Source organism: Homo sapiens, chromosome 1 (genome assembly GCF_000001405.40).
Source record: "Homo sapiens chromosome 1, GRCh38.p14 Primary Assembly".
Taxonomy (NCBI): Eukaryota; Metazoa; Chordata; class Mammalia; order Primates; family Hominidae; genus Homo; species Homo sapiens.
Window position 1 is genome coordinate 178,726,292 of NC_000001.11, and position 27,862 is coordinate 178,754,153.

Here is a 27,862-nt window from a genome sequence, read left to right on the forward strand (position 1 = left end):
AACCTGTGCGGAGCGAATTATTAACCCCCCGCCCCAGCTCCCCCCTCGAAGCTCTTTTCCTGTAGCTGTGTGTTGTGTAGACGCAAGCCAGTTTCAGTGTACGTGGGCGTGTTTGGGAAGAAGCTGCGAGCTGATAGGAGGTACCTAGTACAAATGTTAATTTGTTTGAGTTGGGAGGGGTAAGGGAGGAGGAAGAAAGGGCACTGATGTTAGCTGTGGAGGAGGGGCAATTGAAATACTAAATTTCTGTTAAAAAAAAAAAACCCCAAAAGAAATATCTAATGCCTACTGTGTATTTAAGACCATAAAGTGGAATCACACAAGCAGCAGTTAATTGAGCTTTATCGTTTATGCTCCCTGGATTTTTTTTCCCCAACACTTTAGTTGCTATAGAGAGCCTTTTCTTACCAGTGTTCATGAGTTGACTTGGGTATTTTTCTGTGTCCACCATTAGATCGATTCCTGTTCAAGTTTCTTTGAAGATGACCATCAGAATTTTAGGAAACTTTTCAGCCCGTGTTTGCAGAGTATCGCTGTTAGACAGATCATAGCTTGCTCATTATAAAGCCTGTTCCACTCAAGATCATTATGCTTGTACAAGTGCTATAGAACAAGTGCTATAGAATCATACACATAAGTGTATTACTCTTACGGCTAAATATCTTAATTTAGAATTATGAGGAAACTTCCAAAACTGAGCATCCAAACAGTATTATTTTAACAAAGATAACCTCTAACTCAAGCTTTGTAGGCATGAAGTTTATCATGTAGCTTCAAAGGTCTTTTGAGGCAGATCTAAATATCAAAATGTAAGGGCATTAATGCCATTTGGGATAAACAATTTCAGTGTATTTATTTTAAGCGTAGTTCATTTTTTCTTTTTAAAATTCAGCATAATTTTTGAACGGTAAGATGTGCGTTTTTCCCATTATATTCCACTTTTTTTTTTTTCCTTTTAAGATAGGTTCTCCTTATTTGGCTCAGGCTGGTCTCAGACTCCTGAGCTCAAGCGATCCTCCCGTGTCAGGCTCCCAAGAAGCTGGGACTACAGGCATGCGCCACTGTGCGTTATTTCACTTTTCATTGAATTAAGGAATTTGACTTTTAGTAATACTTTGGGGCAGGACTCTGGAAATACTGTTTAGTTTGCCTAAATTTTTTCAGATTGCAACGTAAGTTTGAAGATAATGCTTGCATTGGCAGAACACAACGTGCTTTTCTAATATTTATTAGTAATACTAGAAAGAATACAACAAATTTTCCTGAGAGAAAACATAACTGAAAAACTGGCTTTGTGAGTCAGATACATATGTGAGTAATATATTTTTGTGTGTGTTTTTAAATACCTGGTACGAGTCTTTTTATTACGTCATTAGAGTTCAGTGTAGTGAATGATGGATATATAGGTGAAATTGTCCTGTTGCAACTTAAAACACTTAAGCTTTTTCCAGAGACTCAGTTCATTCTGCACATGTGTATTGGGTACCTACTTGGTGCCAGTTAGTTCCCTAGAGGTTGGGGACACAACAGGGGAGACACAACAGGGCTTATCATTTAAGCCCTGATGGGGCTTAAATGATAAGTGGGCAAATATGTTTGTTTAAAAGTTTAAGAAGTAGAAACTCCTCTGATAACTTTTTGGTTAAGGATATTGTTTTTTTCTTTCTGAGAATTGTGGGAATTATTGCCTAGCGAACAAAAACATTAAGACAATTGTTTTTAGAATATGCCTATGTTTATATACTTTGGGTTTCTGGTTACCAAGTATACCAAAGATAAACATTCTACCTGAAGTCAGATGATGCGTAGTTTACATGTGGTTAGACAGCCTTATTCTTTTGGTTTATGTAGTTAAATGAATGTTTGCTGAAAATATTCTCTCGGCATTTATTTATAAGGGAATCTAAATTTCTTTTTTGGTCTAAAATTTTAAAATATCACCTTTTTATTTCTGGCTGACTGTGAGTGAACCAATTCCTTGATAATCTGCTTTTTCAGAAATTTTTAAATAACTTTTAAACCATAAACCAAACTATTAATTGAAATTTATTGAATCAAATTTGTTTTCTTTTGTGAGTTAAACTTTAAACCCATTTTCTCCGAAAGTATGCTTTTTTTTTTTTTTTTGCTATGTAAAATAGGCACATAGTTTGGGTTTACTTTTAATTTTAATGATACACAGTTTGAGAATAAGATATTGAAGTGTATCCATTTTTTGAATATGAGATATTTATTGTGTAACGACTGTATTTGGAATAAAATTGTCACTTTAATATGAATACTTTTTTTTAAGTTAATTTTCAATGAAAGATAATTCAAATAGCTTGAAACTACCCCAGCCTGAGTGAAGTTCCTTGGAGAGGAAAATGAATGTATTGCATTACCCTGTAAATTGTTTCTTTAAATGTGTCTTAAATTTCCTATTGAATCCTTTTTAGTGAGAGAATAAAGATTGTGATAAATTTTAGTAACGTGGAATTAATCTGGAATCTTTTTTGGTTTAATGTCTTGAGCTTTTGATTTAGGAAAACTTTTAACTACATAATAGAAATAAAACACTGGAATTTAAAATGTGTTACATTTACCTATTCTATGGAAAGAAAAAAGTTTGAATATAAATTTACATAGTCACTTTACTAAGTAGCTAGTTAGGGATATGGGAAGGATCTATATATACATACAGTTATATGGATATAGCAGTGTTCATATGACTTAGCTTGAGGAAGCTTGGCCGTTTATTTCATTACAGAGAAACTTTTGGTACTGGCTTTTGAATAATACATTGCTTTGGAGTGTGAAAGACTTGAATCTCTCATCTTGAATTTAATTGATAGTTTTCTGTTATTTCACTTACATGACCTTTTTTTTCAGAACAGATTTTCTTTAGTTTGATTTCCTTTTGTTGTTCTTGCAGAAGTGTTTTCTGAAAACCTTATTAAATAGCATCCCCCATCATACTCTGTGCCTTTGCCTTGCTTTATTTATTTATTTTTACATCATTGGTTTATCTGACATTAAAACGTACATTAGTTTATTATCTGCCTCCCTCTCTGATTGTAAGCTTCATGAGGACAAGGGCTTATTTTGTACACTGTTCTCTTCCTAGCACCTAGAAAAGTATCTGACACGTAGTGATGCTCAGATATTTGTGGGGTATTGTTATTAAGTGATCAAAGGACCCCTGGTTTTGTTCCTTTTTTAAAAAAAGATTAATATTTGATTTATACAGCTGTGCAGTTAAAAAGAAAATTGTACTACAAGGGTTATACAGGTTGAGCATCCCAAATCTGAAAATCTGAAATCCAAAATGCTCCAAAATATTAAACTTTTTGAGTGCCAGCATGACTCTCAAAGAAAATGTTCATTGGAGCAGTTTGAGTTTTAAATATTTGGATTTGGGATGCCCAACTGGCAATGCAAGTCTTCCAAAATCTGACAAAATCTGAAATTCAACAAAATTTGAAATCTGAATTTTTCTGGCCCCAAGCCAGGTACTCAGATAACCTGTAATTAAAACTCCGGTCCTCTGCCTCATGTCTTTATGACTTTCCCTCCTGTGTCCTGCTTTCAGAGCAACCATAGGTGTTTCTTCTATTTATTTACATATTTAAAAATTATATACTTTTACTGTTTGTTTTTCAGTTTTATTATTTATTTATTTATTTTTTGAGACAGAGTATTGCTCTATCGCCCAGGCTGAAGTGCAGTGGTGCGATCTTGGCTCATTGCAGCCTCCACCTCTTGGGTTCAACTGATTCTCCTGCCTCAGCTTCCCAGGTAGCTGGGGTTACAGGCATGTGCCACCATGCCTGACTAATTTTTGTATTTGTAGTAGAGACGGGTTTTCACCATGTTGGCCAGGCTGTGAACTCCTGACCTCAAGTGATCCACCCGTTCTCCCTGGCCTCCCTAAGTGCTGAGATTACAGGTGTGAGCCACCATGCCTGGCCCTGTTTTTCAGTTTTCCTGTTTTTCAATTTTAGCTGTTGTCTGTTGGCTTTCTTCTGTGGTAGATGAGTCTATGCTTTAGGATTCTTATGCCACCTTGAAATTTCTTTCCCATGTCTTCCCAATATAGTCATGCTTTTGATTAAATCAGCATTCGTTGTTTACATTATTATGAGTTTGTAAATATGTTTACAGTGGAACCTTACAGTGTACTATGATTATATTTCTTGGAGTTGATTTCTTTTTATTTCTTAGTTTCCTATTTGTCTCTAATTTTTTTTTCTACAAACTGTCCCAATATCATCAAACATCAGGTAATTGACCCTTCAGTTTTAAAAAAAAAAAATGAAAATTCTTCTTGAACTATCTTCTTGCTCAAATCTGCACTTTTGCCTTCCACTTATGCTGTGTAGCTATAATTGTGACTTCCCTTCATCATGATTCTGAGAATTCTGTTTTTTTTTTTGTTTTTTTTTTTGAGACAAGAGTTTTGCTCTTGTTGCCCAGGCTGGAGTGCAATGGCGTGATCTCGGCTCACCACAACCTCTGCTTCCCGGGTTTAAGCGATTCTCCTGCCTCAGCCTCCCAAGTAGCTGGGATTACAGGCATGTGCCACCACACCCAGCTAATTTTGTATTTTTAGGAGAGACGGGGTTTCTCCATGTTGGTCAGGCTGGTCTCGACCCAACCTCAAGTGATTCGCCCACCTCAGGCTCCCAGAGTGCTGGGATTATAGGCGTGAGCCACTGCGCCTGGCTGATTCTGAGAATTCTTTTTGCCATTTTCCTGTGATCTCTGGATCCATATCCTCCGCTTTCTTGATTTACTCCTTTGTTTTGGTGAAATGCATCCTTTGGTAACTTTCAAGAAAGAGTATATGAAGAGGTAAAATTTGTGAGATGTGTGTATTGCTGAAAATATTTTCCTTCTACCTTGACACCTGGTTGATAATATGGCAGGGATAGGTATAGAATTCCAAGGTAAAAATCATCTTCAAATTTAGCAGATGATTATACTTTTCTAGTTGTTTTGGTTTTTTTTTTTTTTTTTTTTTTTTTTTTTGAGACAGAGTCTCCTCTGTCCCCCAGGCTGGAGAGCAGTGATATGATCTTGGCTCAGTGCACCCTCCACCTCCTGGGTTCAAGTGATCCTCCTGCCTCAGCCTCCTAAGTAGCTGGGATTACAAGCATGCGCCACCACACCCAGCTAATTTTTGTATTTTTGGTAGAGATGGTGTTTCACCATGTTGGCCAGACCAGTCTCAAACTCCTGACCTCAAGTGATCCGCCTACCTCGGCCTCTCAGAGTGCTGGGATTACAGGTGTGAGCCACTGTGCCTGGCCTGATTTTCTAGTTTGAAGTGGTTGTTGAAAAGTCTTATGCCATTCAAAATCTTCATCCTTCATATGTGACCTGGCCCTACGATCTTTTGTCTTCAGTATATCTGCTATGTCCCTGATATTTTATGTATCTTGTATTGACTTTACTTTATTTCTTCTACACTGAATTTAGTGGGCGCTTTCAACCAGCAGTGTCCATGATTATATGGAGAGGAGATATGATCTAGTTTAGAGGTCAGCAGACTTTTTCTTTGAAGGTTAGGTAGTATTTTAGGCATTTTGGGCAATACAATCCATTACTGCTACTCAGCTTTGCTGTTGTCTAGTGAAATCAAGCATAAGCAGTGTGGGACTGTGGTTTGCTGACACCTGATCTTATACAAGCAGAAGGATTAGCCTTTGCTTCACCAGGAGTAGGGAGAGTTACTATAGAAATAGGAGAGAAGACAAAGTATATGGATAGACACATGATGGTGGTAGCTTGAGAACGTTCTCATGAGTGTTTCAATTTACCTTTGTGTATAGAGGCCAAGCTCATCATCTGAGAGTAAGGAAGAATGGGAATATGTATTAGAGGTTTGAGAAGGAATAATACATGACATAGTCACTTGTCAAAGAGTAAAAAAGTGAATAGAAGAGGGAGAGTATGATTGCCAGGCAGCAGTAAGGGCTCACTTGAGATACATGGTTCTGAATTTTATGTTCCTGATTTATTTTATTTATTTATTTATTTATTTGAGACAGAGTCTCACTCTGTCGCCTAGGCTGGAGTGCAGTGGCGCGATCTCGGCTCACTGCAACTTCCATCTCCTGGGTTCAGGTGGTTCTCCTGCCTCAGCCTCCCAAGTAGCTGGGACTACAGTTGCGTGCCACCACATCCGGCTAATTTTTTGTTTTTTTAGTAGAGACAGGGTTTCACCATGTTAGCCAGGATGGTCTCAGATCTCCTGACCTCGTGATCTGCCCATCTTGGCCTCCCAAAGTGCTGGGATTACAGGCGTGAGCCACCACACTCGGCCATGTTCCTGATTTTAATAGGAGTACCTTTAATATTTCATCATTAATTATAATGCCTTACTATTGGTTTTGATAAATAACTTAAGACTTTTGGTAGATATGATTAAGAAATGCTTTGTCATACTAGTTTTCTAAGTTTTTTTTTTTTTTTAAACATAAAATGTTGAATTCATCAAGTGCTTTTTCTTTGCAGGTAGAGATCATCTTTTCCATTAATCTGTTAATAGGATGTATTACATTAATAGATTATCTCCTGTTGAACCATCTTTGCATTCCTGAGTTAAACCCTATTTAGCTGTGGTGCATTTTTTCACCCACACGGCTGAATTTGACTTGCTGGTGTCTTAGAGTTCTTTAAGATCTACATTTATCAGTGAGGTTTACATGGGTATATTTTGAATTCAAAGTTTCGCTGACTTCATGAAATCAGTTGTAAAGCTTTCTTTTTTTTCCCCCATTATCAGAAATAATTCTGTAACGTAGGGATTCTTTGTTCCTTGAAGGAACTATAGATTTAATATGAAAGTTTCTAAAACAAAACATGGAAAAATATCTGTATGACCCTGTTGGAGGCAAAGGCTTTTTAAACCAGGATGCAAAAAGTACTAACCAGAAAAGAAAAGACTGTATTTCATTAAATAAGAACATCTACTCATTAAACAATACTATTAAGAGAAGGAAAAGGCAAGTAACACACTGGAAAAGGTGTTTGCAATACTTATATCTGTCAGAGGACTTATATATAGAGTATATTTAAAAGTATGCAAACCAATGCAAAAGAATCAGGCAACCCAGTTTTAAAACAAATGGACAAAAGACTAGAACAGGTATTCAGAAAATGAATTGTTCAGATGGCCAAGGTTAAAAAGTACTGATACATAATTTTTAGAAAACCGCAAATTAAAACTACAATGTGATGCCACTGCATACCCACCAGAATGGTGTTAGTTAAAAAATCTGAAATACAAAGTGTTGGCAAGAATGTAGAGCATTTGGAACCCTTATACATTTCAAGTGGGTTTGAAAATTGGTACAGCCACTTTGGAAAATTCTTTGGCAGCATTTGCCTAAAACTGTATCTGTATATGCTCTGTGATCCACCAGTTTCATGTCTGGGGATAGACCTGATAGAAATCAGTATATGTGTGCATCAGAGGACATGTACATTAGAAGAAAACATAGGGGTAAATCTTTATGACCTTGGAATAGGTAAAGGATTCTTACGTATGACACAAAGTGACACCAAAAGCAGGAGCAACAAAACAAGCAAGAGGTAAATTGAACTTAAAAATTAAATTTTTTGTGCTTCAAAGGATGCCATCAAGAATGTGAAAAGACAATACACAGAATTGGAGAAAATATTTGCAAGTCATATCTAACAAGAAACTTGTAGTCAGAATGTATAAACACTCCTATAACTCAATAATAAAAAGACAACTCAATTTAAAAACAGGCAAAGGAGCTGAATAGAAATTTCTCAAAGATAAACAAGTGGCCAATAAGCACATGAAAACATGCTCGACATTATTAGCTATCAGGAAAATGAAATCAAAACCGCAGTGAGATACCGCTTCACACCACTAGGATGACTTGAATGAAAAAGTTAGATAATAAGTGTAGGCAAGGATGTTAAGAAATTGGGATCCTCATACACTTGTGGGAATGTAAATGGATGTGGCTTCTTTGGAAGACCATGTGGCACTTCTTCAAATAATTTAACGTAGCATTACCATACGACCCAGCAGTTCCTCTCCTAGAACAGCAGATAGAGGTAGAAAACAGATAAGTGGCTTAGGCCAGTAGCAGGGGTAAGGGGGTGGTAGCTAAAGGGTATGGATTTCTTTCTGAGATGATGAAAATGTTCTAAAATTGACCGTGTTGATGGTTGTACCTCTGTGAATATGCTATAAACCATTGACTTGTACATTTTAAATGGGTGAATTGTATGGTATGTGAATTATATCTCAGTAAAGCTGTTAAAGATAGGAAAAATAATCAGTGATGTGACAGTGTTGCCATAATATTTGAGAAGAGCAAGATGCAGAGGGATATACCAAGTATTTGTATGAAGCAAACAACTCCGAAACCTTTATGTCTGTATGTGTTTCGATGATTCTGTAAGGTGGAAAATGTTGCACACTAAATGTAAATGTTTGTTTTCTTGTTGGTCTAAAATAGGGAGAGGGAGAGAAAAAAGGGAAAAAATAACTAAAGGTGTTGATTTAGAAAAAGGATAGCATGTATAGCAAGATCTCAGTTATGTGAACTATAAATGTTAAAAATGTTGAGTAGTTTGTGTGGTGGGATAGCAGATCTTTTTTTCTTTATTATTTTCTGGTTGTTTGATCTTTTTTATTTTATAATAGAAGTAGTTAAAATGATATTAAGAGGCAATAAAATAAAAATAAGTTATGAAACCGCCAAAACCATAGCAAACAGGGCATGTCCATAGCAGCTTCGTGATCACTTCCAGCTGGAAACAACCCAAATGTCTGTCAACAACAACAAAAAAAGGGGATAAATAATTTGTGGTATAGCCTTATAGTATAACACTGTACAGTACTGGAAAAGAATGAACTATAGCTATACTCAGCAAACATGGGTGACTATCACAGATAAAATGGTGAGCAAAAGAAACCAGACACAAAAGAGTACGTACTCCATGAAGTCATACTCCATGACTTCATTTACATAAAGTTTAGGGCAAGGTCAAACTCATGTATGGTGATAGAAGCATGAGCATGGTGTTTAGGAGTTGGGGCTGGAAAGGTAAGAGGAACAACAAAGAGGGACCTTCTAGAGTGCTAGAAATGTCTATATTTTCTTTTTCTTTTCTTTTTTTTTTTTTTTTGATGCTGTAGCCCAGGCTGGAGTGCAGTGGCGTGATCTCAGCTCACTGCAACCTCTGCCTCCCAGGTCCTGCTTCAAGCAGTTCTCCTGCCTCAGCCTCCCAAGTAGCTGGGATTACAGGCACGTGCCACCATGCCCAGCTAATTTTTGTATTCTTTTTTTTTTTTTTTTTTTTTAGTGATGGGATTTCACCATATTTGATTGGTGGTTACATGGGTGTCTACATTGTAAAATTCATCACACAGAATACCTTAGATATATGTACATTATATTTGTACATGTATCTCAAAAGTAAAAAATGAAACCATAAAAAATAAAAATAAGCAAAAAAATTATTGTACTTATTTAAAAGTATTTGTATATTTCTGGGGATAATTGTATTGCATTCAAAGATAGTTTCTACTATCATTTTTAATGGTAGCATTGTATTGTGTGAATGTATCATTATTTAAACTCTTGAGCATTTAGGTTGTTTCTTTTAGATAGTATAACAGTGATAGAGTTAACATCTTTTTTTATAGCTCTTCCTGTACTTACATAATTTCCTTTTGATGAATTCCTAAAAAGGGAGTTATTTGGAGGTTAAGTATGTTTGCATACTCGCTTATGGTGTACATGTTTGTTTCTCTATGCCCTTAATCACTTGGCAGTTAGCTTTAAAAACGTATATATGTTGATGTGTTATGTAATAAGTGCTCTGTGTTTTAATTTGTGGGTTGTTTTTTTTTTTTTTTTCTGAGACAGAGTCTCACTGTGTCGCCCAGCCTGGAGTGCAGTGGTGATCTCGGCTCACTGCAGCCTCCGCCTCCTGGGTTCAAGATTCTCCTGCCTCAGCTTCTCAAGTAGCTGAGATTACAGGTGCCTACCACCATGCCTGGCTAATTCTTGTATTTTCAGTAGAGTCAGAGCTTCACCATGTTGGCCAGGCTGGTCTTGAACTCCTGACCTCAAGTGATCCAGCCACCTCGGCCTCCCAAAAGTGCTGGGATTAAAGATGTGAGCCACTACACCCAGCCTTAATTTGCATTTTAAACGTTTTCAATGAAAGTACTGTTTTCATATGTGTGATATTATACTACTTTCTCCAATTTTCTCTTCACATCCTACCCATTCTTTTTGCTCAATCTTTTAAGTCTTTTAATGAAATAGTTATACAAAAAAGTGTATAGAGTCAGGTGCGGTGGCTCACACCTGTAATCTCAGCACTTTGGGAGGCCAAGGTGGGCGGATTGCTTGAGCCCAGGAGTTTAAGACCCAGCCTGGGCAATGTGGTGAAACCCTGTCTCTACAAAAAAATGCAAAAAATTAGCCAGGTATGGTGGTGTGTGCCTGTAGTCCCAGCTACTCAGGAGGCTGAGGCTGGAGAATTGGAGTCCGGGAGGTCAAGGCTGCAGTGGCCATGATCGAGCCACTGCACTCCAGCCTGGGCAACAGAAGGACACCCCTGTCTTAAAAAACAAAAAGCATATGAAGACTAATACAGTTAATCCCTAACTTAAGAAATTAACCAATGCAGTTGAAGCACCCTACTAGTTCACATTAATGTGTAAGAAGTCTTTATGTATTAAAAATATTAACTCTTTGTCTCTTGTTTTACTTTTCCTTGTTTTATCTTTTGTTACCCAACTTACTGTATTTCATTGAATCTAAAATGGCTTCAGTTGCAAGATGCACTATTTATGTACATCTAAAAATAAGAATATGGCATTCGAATTTAAGAGGCATCTTAATTTCAGAGATTTTAAAAGGTAAGAAAATGCACATCTAAGAATTGATGAAATACATGTATTTCACTGTCTTGCGCCTTTTTTCTTTTTGAGATGAAGTCTTGCTCTGTCGCCCAGGCTGAAGTGCCGGTGGCATGATCTTGGCTCACTGCAACCTCTGCCTCCCAGGTTCAAGCAATTCTCTGCCTCAGCCTCGCGAGTAGCTGGGATTACAGGCGCCTGCCACCACGCCTGGCTAATTTTTTTGTATTTTTAGTAGAGACGGGGTTTCACCATCTTGGCCAGGCTGGTCTTGAACTCCTGACCTCGTGATCCACCTGCCTCGGCTTCCCAAAGTGCTGGGATTACAGGCATGAGCCACCGCACCTGGCCAGCGCCACCTTTAATCAGATGATCAATCTCTTCTTTTGTTTCTGTTTCTACTGTGAGTCCTAGATAGCCTTTCCTATGTCAGAATATATTTTAAAATTCACCTATGTTTACTTCTAGTATTTTTATGGCTTAAATATTTTTCATTTTTAATTCATCTTATTTTAATGTAAGATCTAATTTTTGTCTTTTTACCCAAATGGTTAAACAATTGTCAAAAAGTTAAATGACATTAATGATTTTTTTTCCTTTTGAGATAGGGTCTCACTCTCTCACCCAGACTGGATTCCAATGGCATGATCACAGCTCACTGCAGCCTTGACCTCCCAGACTTAAGTGATCCTCCTGCCTCAGCCTCCCAAGTAGGTGGGACTACGGGTGCACACCACCACCCCTGGCTAATTTTTTTGTTTTTTTGTAGAGACATAGTCTCTACTTTGTTGCCTAGGCTTGTTTCAAACTCCTGGGCTCAAGTAATCCTCTTGCCTCAGACTCCCAAAGTGCTGGGATTACAGCATGAGCCACCACGCTTGACCACAATAATGATTTTTGAACAAGTAGTGATATGCTCAAATGTGCTGGCTAGGAACACAATATGGCTATAGATTTTGGTTAGGTCTAGTCAAAAATTATCAGTTTTATTTTCTAATAGATGGATATCTTTTTTTTTTTTTTTTTTTTTTTGAGTTAGAGTCTCACTCTGTCGCCCAGGCTGGAGTGCAGTGGCACGATCTTAGCTCACTGCAACATCCACCTCCCAGGTTCAAGGTACTCTCCTGTCTCAGCCTCCCAAATAGCTGGGATTACAGGCACATGCCACCATGCCTGGCTGATTTTTTGTGTTTTAGTAGAGACAGAGTTTCACCATGTTGCCCAGGCTGGTCTCGAACTCCTGAGCTTAGGCAGTCCACCCGCCTTGGCCTCCCAAAGTGCTAGGATTACAGGTGTGAGCCACTGCCGTCGGCTAATAGTTGTATATCTTAAATTTGCATTGAAAGGAATGTGAATGTCAAAACTAAATTTCAATTTTATGTTTCCTTAAATTTCTAATAAGTATCTACATGTTTTTGGGATCAGCCATATAATTTACTAAGCTAAAATTAAATAAATTTTTTAAGGATAGACAATGGTTATAATTCTTTGATGAAAGTCTGTATGAATCTGGGCAAGTTACTTAATTTGTTTAACATTCAGCTTTTTTATTTGTAATTGGGTATAATAGTGCCTTCTCATAGGATCATTGTAAGGATTTCTTTTACTCTTTCTTTCAGAATTTTGAAGATCAAGTGTAATTATAGCCCAGATTCTGTTGCATCTGTGGTTATTCTAGATCTCTAGGGTTACTGGAGTAAATTATTCGTTATACCTCTTCCAGTCCTGATTTAGATTTCCAGGATTTGTCTAGAACATTTTTTTGCCTTCTGGAATTAGCTTACATGACAAATCTGTATGTTTTCTGTTGCTTTTCTTAAGCTACACTTTTGTGTATGTGCTGAAATCTTTATAGATAGTTTAGGGGTTTGTAGGTGGGTGATTAGTAAGTTTTTTCTTTTTTTTGCAATTTTGATATGCTGATATATTTTTGTATGTTTTTGTAGTTTAGATCCTATCTCTTAAAGCTAGAGGGACAGGAATAAGTCTACTTAAAGAGCAACATTTTGAGGATATCTTATGGATAAGAAACTCTGCTTCTGACTTGCTTATTTTGGCCACTGGCATTTTTAAATGTTTTCTTGTAAGCACAGTACTTGAGAGTGTTATCATAAAAGTATTGTTGTTCATGTCTTCTTGGTCAGAGACAGTCTTATATGTGAAACCACAGTAAATAACATAAAACAATATGTTGTTTTGTGTCAGATTGAAGAGCATTAGCAGGTCACAGAAGAAGAGGCTCAGTGAGGACAGGAGTGGTCCTTAAGGAATGTGTTTCATTTATGTGGAAAGAACATACTGATTGTTGAAACAGCATGACTCAAGATGTGGCAACCAGAACTAGGTGTTGTTGGCACGATTTGGATTGAAGGGTTTGTTTGGGATGTGGCGGGAAATACAGTACCTTTGATGAGGTGGGACTAAATATTCAGCCCTTAGAAATGAAGCAGGGGAAATTAGAATTGAAATGATAGTACATATTGTTATTCACTAACTTAGCGTGTCACTCTGTTTCCTTTCTTCAAGAGATCCAAAAGGTGACAGATAGAACTCATTGCCAAAAGGTTTTTAAAGATAACCACTTTGAAGGTTTGGACTTAAGGGAACAGGCAGTACTAATTGAAGCCATCTGTGCTGCACTTGTTTATCTAAACAGTTTGGACAGCTGAACTGGCTGTAGGAATGAAGTCAACAAACCTAGCCACCTCATCTGCTTCATTCCAATATGGCCTAACAGATATAGCTATAAGGATGAATAGGGTCATTGATACTACTTCTAACTCTGAGCGGTATTTGAAATAATAGATAATAGTGGGTTTTCCTCCTCAGTTGTGGTACTCTTGAATGGAGTATGGCAACCTTTGACTTAATAATCACTGGACCTGTATTTCATGTCTTGTGTGATGCTGTAAATTATATGATCCCCTTAGTAACAACCAAATTTTGTATTTATAACTACTTAACTACTATAACTAAGTAGATTAGAAATCCTGGCAAGACTTTTGAGTCCCAGAGTAGTAGTGATTTATCTGAGTCAGTATCCTAGATATGTCATTTATAATTCTGGCTTGCCCACAGTTCCTTTGGAGGAAATCTGCTTTTTCTACAGTACATTGCAGAAGAACAGACCTCAATAGCTATTTTTTTAACCATATAAAACTGTATTGCAGTGGATTGGTCCAGCAGTGGGCATTTGACCTAAGGGTTGCTAATCCATCAACCACCTGGGAAAATTTATATAGTCAGTTATAGAAAACATGGAGTTAATTTACCATTGAACCATGGGAGCTGAAGCTGCAAAGATGTGTTGGTGTAGAGTCCTGTAAAACTAAAGTTTAAGGGAATGGAAAGTAGATGTAAGCAGAAGCTATGAATTACAGAAATGATAAAGGAGATGAGGAAGCCATTTGGTAACTATAAAAGAGTAGGGCATGTGTGCTGAGAGAAGTGCAAAATTCTGAGAGAAACCATGTGGTTTGAGAGAGAGGTATGGAACATGAGAGTGAAGATTCTAGTTTCTGGCACTGTAGATACTGTTCTTCCTTTAGTACTTCTGTGGCTCCTGCCCTTCTTGAGACTGCATTCATTCCTCCCCACCCCCAGGAAAGATTGTAGGCTTTGGTGTCAGACATTTGACATTAGAATTCTGGCTTTTTTACCAGCCCCTGCAACCTTGGGCAAATCGCTTAAACTCTCTGTCTCATTTCTCATCTGTAAAATGAGCATCATAACAATACTTCTCACTGGGTTGATGTGAGGATTAAGTGAGAATGACACATGGAAAGCTTAGAACAATGCTAAGCGTATAACAGATGTTCAATAAATAGTATCATATATGTAATGATATTTGAGGTAATTTGATTTTTTTGCAACTAAGAGTCTAACTATAGTTAATCTCCTTACTGATTCACTTGGAGCAGAGTAACCTTGTGTGGGAGCTGTGTAAACAAGATAAGGTATAGGGAGTTAGAAAATATTGTCTTATACAGTGTGAATAATAATACACTGAGCATTTAATAGATGCTTGGTGTTCTAAGCATTTTACCTGTATTAACTCATTGGATGTTTCTGTTACTTTCATTGTAAAGATATAGAAACTGAGGCACAGAGAGGCTAACCAACTTGCCCAAGGTTATACAATATGTAACGGGCAGAAATAGAATTCAAACCCAGGTGGTCCAGTTACAGAGTTTTAATTTTTAAATATCTAATTCCTTTTCAATTCTTTCTTTTTAAATGAAGCTAAGGAGGAGGTCTCAGTTTGTTGTTACTGTTTCTTTTATGTTTTTCTAGTACTTGCTTCTCTCCCATTTTGACAAAGACATAGTATACCTCAGGTCTAGAAACAAGATGTGATTCTTGGTAAAGTTCCTGTACTGTACATGAAGTGGTATATCACCTGAAGGAAGACCATGGTAAGTTAAAGTTAAATACTATAAATCCTAACACAATCCTGTGAAACAATGAGTTGTAGCTAAGAAGCCAACAAAGGAGATAAAATGGAATTAGAAACTATACTTACTTATTCAGAAGAAAGCATAAAAAGAGAAAAAAAAGGGACAAATGTAAAGCAAATAGCAAAATATAATAGACTTAAACCTAACCATATCAATAATCACATAAAATCTAGAAGACCTAAACACATTTAAGAAGCAGAAATGGGCTGGGCATGGTGGCTCACGCCTGTAATCCCAGCACTTTGGGAGGCCGAGGCGGGAGGATCATGAGGTCAGGAGATCGAGACCATCCTGGCCAACATGTTGAGACCCTGTCTCTACCAAAAATACAAAAATTAGCCGGGCATGGTGACGCACGCCTGTAGTCCCAGCTACTCAGGAGGCTGAGGCAGGAGAATTGCTTGAACCTGGGAGGCAGAGGTGGCAGTGAGCTGAGATCGTGCCGCTGCACTCCAGCCTGGCAACAGAGCAAGATTCCGTCAAAAAAAAAAAAAAAAAAAGAAGAAGAAGCAGAAATGGTGAGATTGGATTAAAAAAACAAGAGTTAACCATCTCCTGCCTGCAAGAAACCTACTTTAAATATTAAGACACAAATAGGCTAAAAGTAAAGGATGGAAAAAGATACACCATGCTCGCAATAGTCAAAAGAGCATTATGTGGCTATATTAATATTGGACAAGACCCAAGCAAAGAGTATTTCCAGGGATAAAGGATGTCATTACAAAATGATAAAGAGGGCAGTTAATCAAGAGGATGTAATAGTTCTAAACATTTATGCCCCTAATAACAGAATTTCAAAATACTTGAAACAAAAACGGATAGTATTCAAGGGAGAAATTGTCATATCCACAATTTGTGTTGGATACTTACTCTTCTCTCAGTAAATGATAGAACAAGCAGACAGAAAATCATAGGGATATATAGTAGACTTGAACAATACTGTCAACCAATTTTACTTAATTAACATTTACAGAATCTCCACCCAACAATAACATATTATTCTCAGTTTACTCAAATGTCTACAGAACATTTTTCATGATGGACTATGTTTTGGTCCACAAAAAAGTCTCAATAATTTAAAAGGGTTGAGATCCTTCAAAATATGTTATCTGATCACAGTGTAATTCAATTTGAAACTATTAACAAAATGGGGGAAAATCTGGTCTTTGGAAACTAAACAACACAATTTTAAATAATTTATGGTTCAAGGAAGAGATCAAAAGGGAAATTATAAAGTCTTTTGAACTGAATCAAAATGAAAACAACAAATCAGAATTTGTGGGGCTGGTTGTGGTGGCCCATGCCTGTAATCCCAACACTTTGGGAGTCTGAAGTGGGAGGATCACTTATGGCCAGGAGTTCAAGGCCAGCTTGGGCAACATAGCAAAACCCTGTCTTTACAAACATTTTTTTAAAAAAAATTAGCCAGACATGGTGACACATCCCTATAGTCCTAGCTACTGGAAAGGAGAATCACTTGAGCCCAGAAATTTGAGGCCAGTGAGCTATGATTATGCCACTGTAGCTTGGGGCAACAGAGTGAGACCCTGTCTCTTAACAGAATAAATAAAGAAAAAAGAATTTGTGGGATACTATTGAAGTAGAACTCAGAAAGAATTTATAGCCCTGAATGCCTACATAAGAAAAGAAGAAAGATCTCAAATCATTCACTTCCATTTCTACCTTCAGGCATTAGAGGAAGAGCAGATTAAAGTAATTACAGGAAAGGGTATACTAAAGATCAGTGTGGATATTATTTTTAACTTTCTACTCATTAGAATCAATGAAAATGATTTTGATGTAAAATGAAAGCAATTACAGTAAAGGAAATGATAAAGATCAGTGTGGAAATTGTTTTTAAACTTTCTACTAATTAGACAAAAATCAATGAAAATTGATTTTATTGATGTTGCCATGGAACTAATTTAAGTTAAAAAAATTAGTTCTGTGGCAACATCGATAAAATTGATAAAGCTCTAACTGTGCTGATTGAGATCAGGAAAGACAGAAGTGACATCATTACAGAGCCTACAGATATAAAAGGATAACAGGAATACTGTGAATAACTTTATGCCTATACATTTTAAAACAGAGATGAATTGGACGAATTTTTTGACAGACACATACTACCAAACTTCACTCAAGAAGAATATACAACCTGAAATAACCCTGTATCTGTTAAAGAAATTGAATTTGTGATTACAATATTTCCACACCAAAAAAAAACCCAAAATAAACTTCAGACCCAGATGACTTCACAAGTAAATTCTGTTAAACGTTTAAGGAAGAATTAAGACCAGTTCTATACAAACACTTCCAGAAAATTGTAGAGGAAGAAGTACTTCCTCACTTATTTTGTGAGCTCAGCATTACCTTCTTACTCAAACTAGACAGACGTTGTGAGGTAAGAAGACTACACAGAAATAACTCACATGAGCATACATACAAAAGTTCTAACCATATTTTAGTAAATTGAATGTAACAGTTTATTAAAAAATACATCATAATTAACTGGGGTTTATTTCAGGAATGCAAAGTTGGTTTAACATTTAAAAAGCAATCGTTGTAATTCACTACATTAAGTAAAAAAAACTATATGATCATCTCAGAAAATTGGGGGCAGGGGAGGCAAGCATTTGATGATCTAACCTTCATTCTGGGTAGTCACTTTGAGAAAACTAGGATTAGAAAGGAAATTCTTCAGCCCAGTGAAGGATGTCTCTGAAAAAACTGTAGGTAGTATCATATTTAATGGTGAAAGACTGAATGCTTTTTCTCTAAGACCAGCAACAAAACAAAGATGGCTACTCTCACCACTTCTGTTTCACAGTGTACTGGAGGTTCATTGCAGCCAATACAGTCAAGAAAAAGAAATAAGCTGGGTTTGGTGGCTCATGCCTGTAATGCCAGCACTTAGGGATGCTGGAGAGCAGGGGTGGATCACTTGAGGTCAGGAGCTCGAGACCAGCCTGGCCAACATGGTGAAACCCCGTCTCTACTAATAATACAAAAAAAATTAGCGCGGCATGGTGGCAGCTGCCTGTAATCCCAGCTACTCAGGAGGCTGAGGCAGGAGGATCACTTGAAACTGGGAGGGCAGAGGGTGCAGTGAGCCGAGATCGCACCACTGTACTCCAGCCTGGGCGACAGAGCGAGACTCCATCTCAAAAAAAAAAAAAAAAAAAAGAAAGGAAAAGGCATCCAGACTGGAAAGGAGGAAGTAAAGTATCTTCTTTGTAGTTGACATGATTGTCTGTAGAAAATCTGATGGAACTTGCAAAATTTCTGGGACTAAGTGAATTTAGTAAAGTTGTGGATTACAGAATCAGTCTGTAAATATCAATTGCATTTATTTAGCAATGAGCAGTTGGAAATTGAAATGTAATAAAACCAGTACTATTGATAATAGTATCAGATATGAAATACTGTTAATTACACAGCATCATAGAAAGTAAGTAAAGAAGACTTAGATAGGTGGGGAGATAGATACTCTTTGTTTATGGGTGAGAAGACTCGTTGCTAAGAAGACAATTATCCCTAAATTGATCAATGTGATTCCAGTCAAAATGCCAGCAGGCTTTCTTTTTTGGCGGTGGGGTGGGGGAATAGAAATTGGCAAGCTGATTCTAAAATTCGTGTGGAAATGTAAAGGACGTAGAATAGCCAAAACAGCTTTGTAAAAAGAAGAACAAAGTTGGAGGTCTAATGCTATCTGATATCACAATTTATTATAAATCTGAAGTAGTCAAAACAATGTTGTATTTGTATAAGGATGATGAAATAGATCAATGGAATAGAACAGAGTCCAGAAGTAAGCCAGTACATAAATGGACAACTGAATTTTGACAAGGTGCAAAGGCAGTTCAGCAGAGAAAGGATAGTCTATTCAACAAATAATGCTGGCACAAAATGGATATCCAAATGCAAACAAATGAACTTCAGTCTGTATCTTGCACTGTATGGGAAAATGAGCTCAAAATGAATCAAAGACCTAAATGGTCAAGACTTAAATTACAAACTTTTGGCAAAATTAGGACAAAATCTTTATCTTGAGTCAAGCAAAATTATTTTTAGTTACAACACCAAAAGCATGATCCTTAAAATAGCACATTGATAAAATGATTTTTTATCAAATTGAAAATGTGCTATTCAAAAGAGAATTCAATTCTTCTTTTTTTTTTTTTTTTTTTTTTTTGAGATTCATTCTGTCGCTCAGGCTGGAGGCAGTGGTGTGATCTTGGTTCACTGCAACTTTCACCTCCCAGGTTCAAGCAATTCTCCTGCCTCAGCCTCCCAAGTAGCTGGGACTACAGGCATGTGCCACCATACCTGGCTAATTTTTGTATTTTTAGTAGAGATGGGGTTTCACTATGTTGGCCAGGCTGGTCTCGACCTCCTGACCTCAGGTGATCCACCCACCTCAGACTCCCAAAGTGCTGGTATTACAGGTGTGAGCCACCACACCCAGCCGAAGAGAGAATTCTTAAGAGAATGAAAAGACCGGCTGCAGGATGGCAGAAAATACTTGCAAATCAAATATGTGATTAAGGTCTTGTATATAGAATATATACTAATGAACTCTCAACACCAACAATCCAACTTTTTGAAATCTGCAAAATATTTGATAGATACCTCACCACAGAAGATACGCTAAGTATATGAAAAGATGTTTAGTCCTTATATATATTTTTTTATTTAACAAAAATATTTAATGCTGCCAAAAAGTATAAAAATACAGTAGGAATGGCAGTACAATACAAAGTAATCTCTCCTAATTTATTTCTTGTACATCTTTCTACATTTCATACATGCATTATAAACACTTAACATCCAGTTAAAGGTTCTGCAAGGTCTTAGCTGGTGGATGCTCTTCATTCCCTGGATGTCAAGTTTACTTTGTAAACAAACAACTGTGAGGCAATCTAGAGGGTTAGCGAGCCTCACTTAAGTTTCCAGAGTGGGCTTCAGGTCTTGATTTGCACATCAATGGTTCCAAATTTATAGCTGCAGAATATTCTCAAGTCATGAATATTAGGTATCTGTCAATCTTGGCCTTTTTCTTTTTCGTTCATTCTCATTTAGCCTCTATTTCATCTGCTGCACCTTCTGAGCTGTGGTGGCCTTTCTGTCCTCTCACATACGTTTCCGTAGAACACTCTCATTGTTCTCCTCCATTGTATCTTGCATTTTAGAGGAAAGTCCTGTACGTCAGTCACCTGTCAGTTTTTCTTCTTCTAGACCTATTCTGTTCCTATTGTATTTTTCAGTCATTATTTTGTTTGGTGAATGATCAAAAGCAGGAGGTAGTCTTCCTTAGAAAGTTCTTTCCATCGTTTCTGTATACTAGAATCTCCCTTTACACATTTTGCTCCTTCTGTTATAGCCATGTATGAGAATCTCAGTTGATCTGGGGTCTGAGATAAGACCCATTTGGAATTTTCTTATGTTCAGTAACACTTGTTTAATGTTAATATCATCTCCTTTTTCCATCAAAACAAGACAAGTGTCTACCAGAGAGAAGGTGCTGGAGCGTCCAGTGCCTGCACTACGGTGGATCACCACAGGTCCATGGTCAGGGTTCAAGGAGCCAGATTCTCTCACTTTAAACAAGAAATTGAGAAATGAAGCTGGTGATTGAGGGACTCCAAAATCTGGCCAAGTAGTATAATGAAAGTGAGATATTGTTCTGGTTTCACCACTATTGATATTTTCTAATTGTGGTAGATGTACTGTATAATACGACTTCACATCTTCTGACAAGAGCTTCACACTGAATCCTGTTTCTTTAAACAGCATCTCTTGGTCATCTGTTGGCCAGTACTGTGCACATTTAACCAATTCTTTCTCCATAATGCGGTTCAGCATGACAACTGCTTTGGTCTTCTGCTGCCAAACCATAAGCCAGAAATGGCAGCATGTGTTAGGAAGTGGACCCTGTGTTAAGATGTAACTCCTTTGTCCTCTTCTATGTCAACTAAGCTGGCATTAATATAATCATTCTCAGCATTTTGCAGTTTAACACAACTGTGATCATCAAGTACAGCAGCTGCCAGCGATGCTGAGCATCCAACTCCTTGAACTCCCACTTGATGGTGGTGGGCATGGCAGCAGGAGCGAGCTGGTGCGAGCAGAGCCTGTGCCAGCGGAGACGCTCAGGCCCTGCACGATCCGCAGAGAGCCTATATTACATTAATCATAATGTTAATAGTTACTAAATAAATGGGAATTAAAATCAGTGAACTAGCACTACCTATCTAAAAGACTGACCATACCAAGTGTTCGCAAAGATGTGAAAGACTAGAACTCTATACTTTGCTTTTAGGACTGTAAAACAGTACAACTACTTTAGGAGACAGTTTGGTTGTTTCTTAAAATGCTAACATACAGTCTGGGCACAACGTCTCACTTCTGTAATCCCAGCACTTTGGGAGGCCGAGGCGGGTGGATCACTTGAGGTCAGGAGTTTGAGACCAGCCTGGCCAACATGGTGAAACCCTGTCTCTGCTAAAAATACAAAAATTAGCTGGGCATCATGGCATATGCCTGTAATCCCAGCCACTCGGGAGGCTGAGGCAAGATGATCCCTTGAACCTGGGAGGTGGAGGTTGTGGTGAGCCAAGATTGTGCCACTGCACTCCAGCCTGGGCAACAGAGTGAGACTCCGTCTCAAAAAAAAAAAAAAAAGAAGTTAACGTACACCTACCAGCAGCTCCACTCCTAGGTATCTACTGAAAGGACTTGTGTACTAATGTTCACAGCAGCTTTATTTATGATAGTCACAAACTGGAAAAAATGGATAAACAAATTGTGATGTGACTATACTATTTAGCAATATAAAGGAATGAACTATTTATTGATAGTCACAACAACAGGGATGAGGTCTCAAAATAATTATGCAGAGCAAAAGAAGGCAGGCACTGGCTGGGCACGGTGGCTCACGCCTGTAATCCCAGCACTTTGGGAGGCTGAGGCAGGTGGATCACCTGAGGTCAGGAGTTCGAGACCAGCCTGGCCAACATAGTGAAACCCCATCTCTACTAAAAATATAAAAATTAGCTGGCTGTGGTGGCGGGCACCTGTAATCCCAGCTACTCAGGAGGCTGAGGCAGCAGAATCGCTTGAACAGGAGGCGGAGGTTGCAGTGAGCCGAGATTGCGCCACTGCATTCCAACCTGGGTGACAGAGTGAGACTCTGTCTCAAAAAAAAAAAAAAAAGAAGGCAGGCACTTTGGGGGTGACTAAGTATGTTCCCTATCTTGATTTTTCATAGGTGTATACTATATATGTACTTTGAACATGTGTAATTTATTGTGTGTAACCTATATATAAAGGTTTTTTTGTTTGTTTGTTTTGTTTTTTAAACATTGAGGTGGACGGAGTCTTGCTGTGTTGCCTAGGCTAGTCTTGAACTCCTGGGCTCAAGCTGTCCTCTCACTTACAGGTACACACCACCAACAACCCATTTAGTCTGTCACGTAATTAATAGACCAAAATTTGTCTTTTGTTTTTGGACCAAATAAAGCTGTTTTTAAAATTTTTTTTTAATTCATGCAGGCTGGGTGTGGTGGCTCACGCCTATAATCCTAGCACTTTGGGAGGCCAAGGTGGATGAATCACCTGAGGTCCAGAGTGTGAGACCAGCCTGGCTAACATGATGAATCCTTGTCTTTACTAAAAATACAAAAATCAGCTGGCGTGGTAGTGGGTGCCTATAATCCCAGCTACTCAGGAGGCTGAGGCAGGAGAATCACTTGAACCCAGGAGGCGGAGGTTGCAGTGAGCCTGGTTTTTCAGCAGTTTACTAATAACACTTGGATCTTTAGCATTTTCTTCTTTTTCGTTTTAAAAGACAACCTTGAGGAGAGAGAAGGTAGATATGAATGGAAGAATAGGGGAAGGACAATGATTTGGATTGGTTTGAAACGTTGGCCCCTAATATGTTGCTTTTGAGGAGTAGTATTTTTCTAAACGGAGTAACACTTGGGATTTTGTAAATTCAATTTGATGAGGATCTTAGAAGTAGCTTGCTGCTATTGCAGAGTTATCTACAGCTGCTCCAGAAGGCTGATGGCTACATGGCTGGATTTGATCCATGCACAGAGGTAGAGAGTGCCTTACTTTGCATATTACTCACATCTGTTGCACTAAAGCAGTGCTTTCTGGCTGGGTGTGGTGGCTCACGCTTGTAATTCCAGCACTTTGGAAGGCTGAGGCAAGCAGATTGCCTGAGCTCAGGAGTTCAAGACCAGCCTGGGCAGTGTGGCAAAACCCCATCTCTACAAAAACAACAACAACACACACACACACAAATTAGCCAGGCATGGTGGCGCACACCTGTTGTCCCAGCTACTTGGAGGGCTGAGGTGGGAGGATCTCTGGAGCCTGGGAGGTTGAGGTTACAGTGAGCCAGTATCACGCCACTGTTCGCCAGCCTTGGTGACAGAGTGAGACTCTGTCTCAAGAAAACAAACAAAAAAACAGTACTTTCTGAAGTAGAATCTATCCATTTTTGTTCTAGGCGAGAGGTTGGCAAACCTTCTCTAAAGGCCCAAAAAGTAAATTAAAATCTACACTTTGCAGGCCATGCAAGTCTCTGTTGCAGCTATTCAGTTCTGCTTTTGGAGTGTGAAAGCAGCCATAGACAACACATAAATGGATGAGTGGCTGTGTTCTGTTAAAATTTTATTTACAAAAATGGGGCTGGATTTAGCTTGTGGGCCAGTTTGGCAAACCTTGCTCTAGGCCACCAGTGTCTCCTCTTTGGGATATTTGATATTTTGTGCTTAATTTTCCAGTGGTGGCTCATTGCAAATAAAACAAAGTGGCACCCTATCACTTGCAGCTGCTGTGCTGTGTTTAATGGCTTTTACTGATGATGGTATGTAATAAGTGAATGACGTGAACTTTAAGAAGTAGAATAAGGCAACCTTAGCTTTTTTCTCTCTCACAGTCTGCATGTAGCTGGTTGATGAATTCAGGCACTTTTACTTTGAAAAGTCTCTGGAATTAGGTTTTTTGATGTTCGTATTTATAATTTCTTGGCTGCAGTAGGATAATAACCTTCTTATTGCTCCTTCTGCATTTAAGGTTCTCAAATTCGTCAAATGTCCGCATATGTTACCTAAGCTACCTTTCTAAAATAAAAGTATTGTGGTACATTTCTCTGTCTATAATTATACAGGGACTCCCAGTCACCCAGAACAGTGGTTCTTAACTGCTTTTTATTCCTGAGTCCCTTTGAAAATCACTAATAGCTATGGATCCAGGAAAATGAGTTTATTTTTGGGTGTGTTCATGTACACAGTATTCATACTTTGGGGGGAATTGGACAATGTATGGCCCTAAAGTTTTATTCATGTCTCTTAGTTAGGAAATCTTGATTTACATTAAAGTACATTTATTTCCATGCTGTTGTAAGTGCTTCTTGAGCTGGCTAGAGTCTTTGTAATTTATCTTCCATGTTCACACACACAGACACACACACCCTATGTCCCTCCCCCCCAAACCCTTATGCTTTTTTCTACAAAGAACCAACATTCCTCCGTTATGGCAATTTCTTCCGTTCTTGTGGCTTTGCAAATAGCATTTCCTCGTGCCAGGATTGCCCTTACCATAAATTTCCCTTCCATATGCCCATTTTCTACTTGTTAAGACTCATCTCAGATACCAGATTCTCTGTGAAGATATTCCTGACATCTCTTCCTTGGCAGACAGAAGTAAATACGAAGGAATTCTAGCAAATGAAACAAATAGGGACACCTTTTTTCAGAGTGGGGAGGAATATGGAAGGAAGTTTTCTTGGAAAGCTTTATTTGCTCTTCTTGAGAGAGAACACTATTCCATAACCTTCTGAACCTCTTTAAGCCTCCTTTTCTAAACTGGTTATCAATTTCTTAAATTGATTACATTATTGATAAATAATAATATTTATCTTAGAGGAGTATTAGAATAAATGAAGAACAGTGTTTCAATCTCTGTAACACCTCAATACTTATACAGGAAATTCCCTTCTTCTGGTCATTGGGTGGCCTCCGGAACTTATGCAGGAAGGAGTAAGTGTATCTTCAGAGACCTAGTACTCTCAGTTCTTAATAAAAATGTTCTGATGAAAAACTAGGTCATAAATTTACTAGAACATTTCTTGAAATCCTTCTGGTGAAATTAAAGTATGTGGGTAAGCTACAAGTCGCTATGCAAATATTTATGTTGTTATAGGTGTTGTTACTTTTAAAAGACCAGAGGGATCTTTACTATTAGAGCAAAAAACGTTTTTTTTCCTAGTCGGTTGCTGATAGAATAGATTCCTGGCTTTCACAAATTAACACTTATAATTGTGGGTTCTCACTATTCCATCCCATGAATGACAGGGAGGATGCATGGCATATGACAATTTGTAATTTACTGAGCCCAGATTGGTCCTAGTCTGCTACCTAGTAGGTAAATCTCAGTTTGATTTGCTAATCTCTACTATTTGTGTAGTAATTTTTTTTTTTTTTTTTTCTGAGACAGGGTGTCACTCTGTTGCCCAGGCTAGTGTGCAGTGGCACAGTCTTGGCCCACTGCAGCCTTGACCTCCCAAGCTGAAGCAATTCTCTCACCCCAGCCTTTCAAGTAGCTGGGACTATGGGACTATAGGCATGAACCACCATGCCCAGCTAATTTTTAATTTTTTTTTTTTTGTAGAGATTGGTGGCGGGGGGGAGGGTCTCACTTTGTTGCCTAGGCTGGTCTCAAACTCCTGGGCTCAAGTGGCCCTCTCACTTCCCTCTCCCAAAGTGGTGAGATACAGGTGTGAGCCATGTTGCCTGGCCATAGTAGCTTTTGTTGCCAGCACTATCTTCCTGCAGCTACTCCTACTGCTGGTGATCAAAGAGAAGCAAAAAGCAATAGCTGTAGAAGGAAGAATTTAGAGTAAATTAAAGAGTAAAATGTAACATTTCGTGATGGCTTAAATTCATGGTGCATATGAGTCAGCTTTACAGTTTATATAGTAATGTGAATAAGTATAAATTATTTCAATCTTCTTAGAATCATTAAAGGTCTGAAGGAGTTAAAAAATAGTTATACTTTAATGTTTTATATGCCATAGTAATATTCTCCAATTTGGAAATCTTTCAAGTTGCCTTGGAAAAAATACTTAATAAACTGATACCAAGGGTCTGTTGTAGGGGAAGTCATTGCTTAGGTATCCATTTGTTGAGACTTCTGAATTCAGTATGGTCTTTCTCTCTCTCTTTTTCTGTTTATGTATGTATCCTGAATGGAATTTGTAAGATACAATTTAATAGTTCATTAATATGGACTCTGCCTTTTCATTGTGTACAGTCCAGGCTTTTCTGTTATTGTGACAAACATTGCCCTTTATTTCTTCAGACTCAGTTCCTGATGCTTCCCACCTCTGTTTACATTTGCCCTCTGTACTGTACTTGAACTACTGGTAGTCCACTGAATACGAGGCACTGAATGTGCCATACTGGTTATGTGGACTTGGCAAGATCACATGACCTTGGCATTGGATTGATGTTGTCTTATGTAAAATCAGGATTGGAACAAAGCAGTGGGTTAGCAAATTTGTCCTTTTTTTTCCTGCCTTCGTATTCTTTCATTCTTACACATTTGAAAGATACAACACTTTCTCATCACTTTACAATGAATTCCTACAGCCATGATTCTCTATGGTATTTGGGGGTGGGACATGGGCCCTGAGACAAGTCAAATATTAAAATTAGAGAAGACCTGGGGGTTTGAAATGCACCCTAAGTTGAGATCTCTAAAATATCTTCCATCTCCTAAATAATATTCATCTGTATTATTAGCATGAGGCAAAAATTTATGGATATATGAGCTTAGGTCCAAAAAGCTGTTCCTCGGCTCATTTTGTCTCAAGTCCAGATTGATGCTAAACAAGTGATCACTAACGCCATCTGTTGGTGGTAACAGTTGTACTTTTTCTTTTAAAATTTATGTTGTAGCGTAATGTTCACCGTAATACTCAAACAAAAATGTTTGAGACCAAGCGTCTCTGTCTTATTATGGAATCGAGTTAGAGATACTTATGTACCAAGTGCTTTAAGCAGGAAGAAAAAACCGTAAAACACTTCAGTTATAACAGTACCTGCATTAGAGTTGTACTGTCTATTGGATGTGTAGCTTTGTTGGTTTCTATGAAAATTTGCAGGTTGAAGGTTTTTTTTTTTTGAGATGGAGTCTCACTCTGTCGCCCAGGCTGGAGTGTGATGGCGCAATCTTGACTCAGTGCAAGCTCCACCTCCTGGGTTCACGCCATTCTCCTGCCTCAGCCTCCCGAGTAGTTGGGACTACAGGCGCCCGCCACCACGCCCGGCTAATTTTTAATAGAGACGGGGTTTCACTGTGTTAGCCAGTATGGTCTTGATATCCTGACCTCGTGATCCGCCCGCCTCGGCCTCCCAAAGTGCTGGGATTACAGGTGTGAGCCACCGTGCCCCAGCCTGCAGGTTGAAGGTTTTTAAGTTGAGGAGCT

The 27,862-nt window shown here is 38.2% G+C and overlaps 1 protein-coding gene and 1 pseudogene across 8 annotated transcripts in view; one reads left to right on the forward strand and one right to left on the reverse strand.

Moving 5' to 3' along the window:
* The window catches only part of RALGPS2 (Ral GEF with PH domain and SH3 binding motif 2), a 196,597-nt gene that overhangs the window by 1,048 nt on the left and 167,687 nt on the right, over positions 1-27,862 (forward strand). Inside the window, exon 2 of one of the 8 annotated variants that reach the window (XM_047423755.1) lies at positions 455-15,318. The exons of the other annotated variants lie outside the window; for them this stretch is intronic. The gene's annotated coding sequence lies outside the window, so the exon portion shown is untranslated. The remainder of the gene's footprint in view (positions 1-454; positions 15,319-27,862) is intronic. 8 annotated transcript variants of the gene reach the window in all.
* PTPN2P1 (PTPN2 pseudogene 1) lies at positions 20,053-21,539 on the reverse strand (annotated as a pseudogene).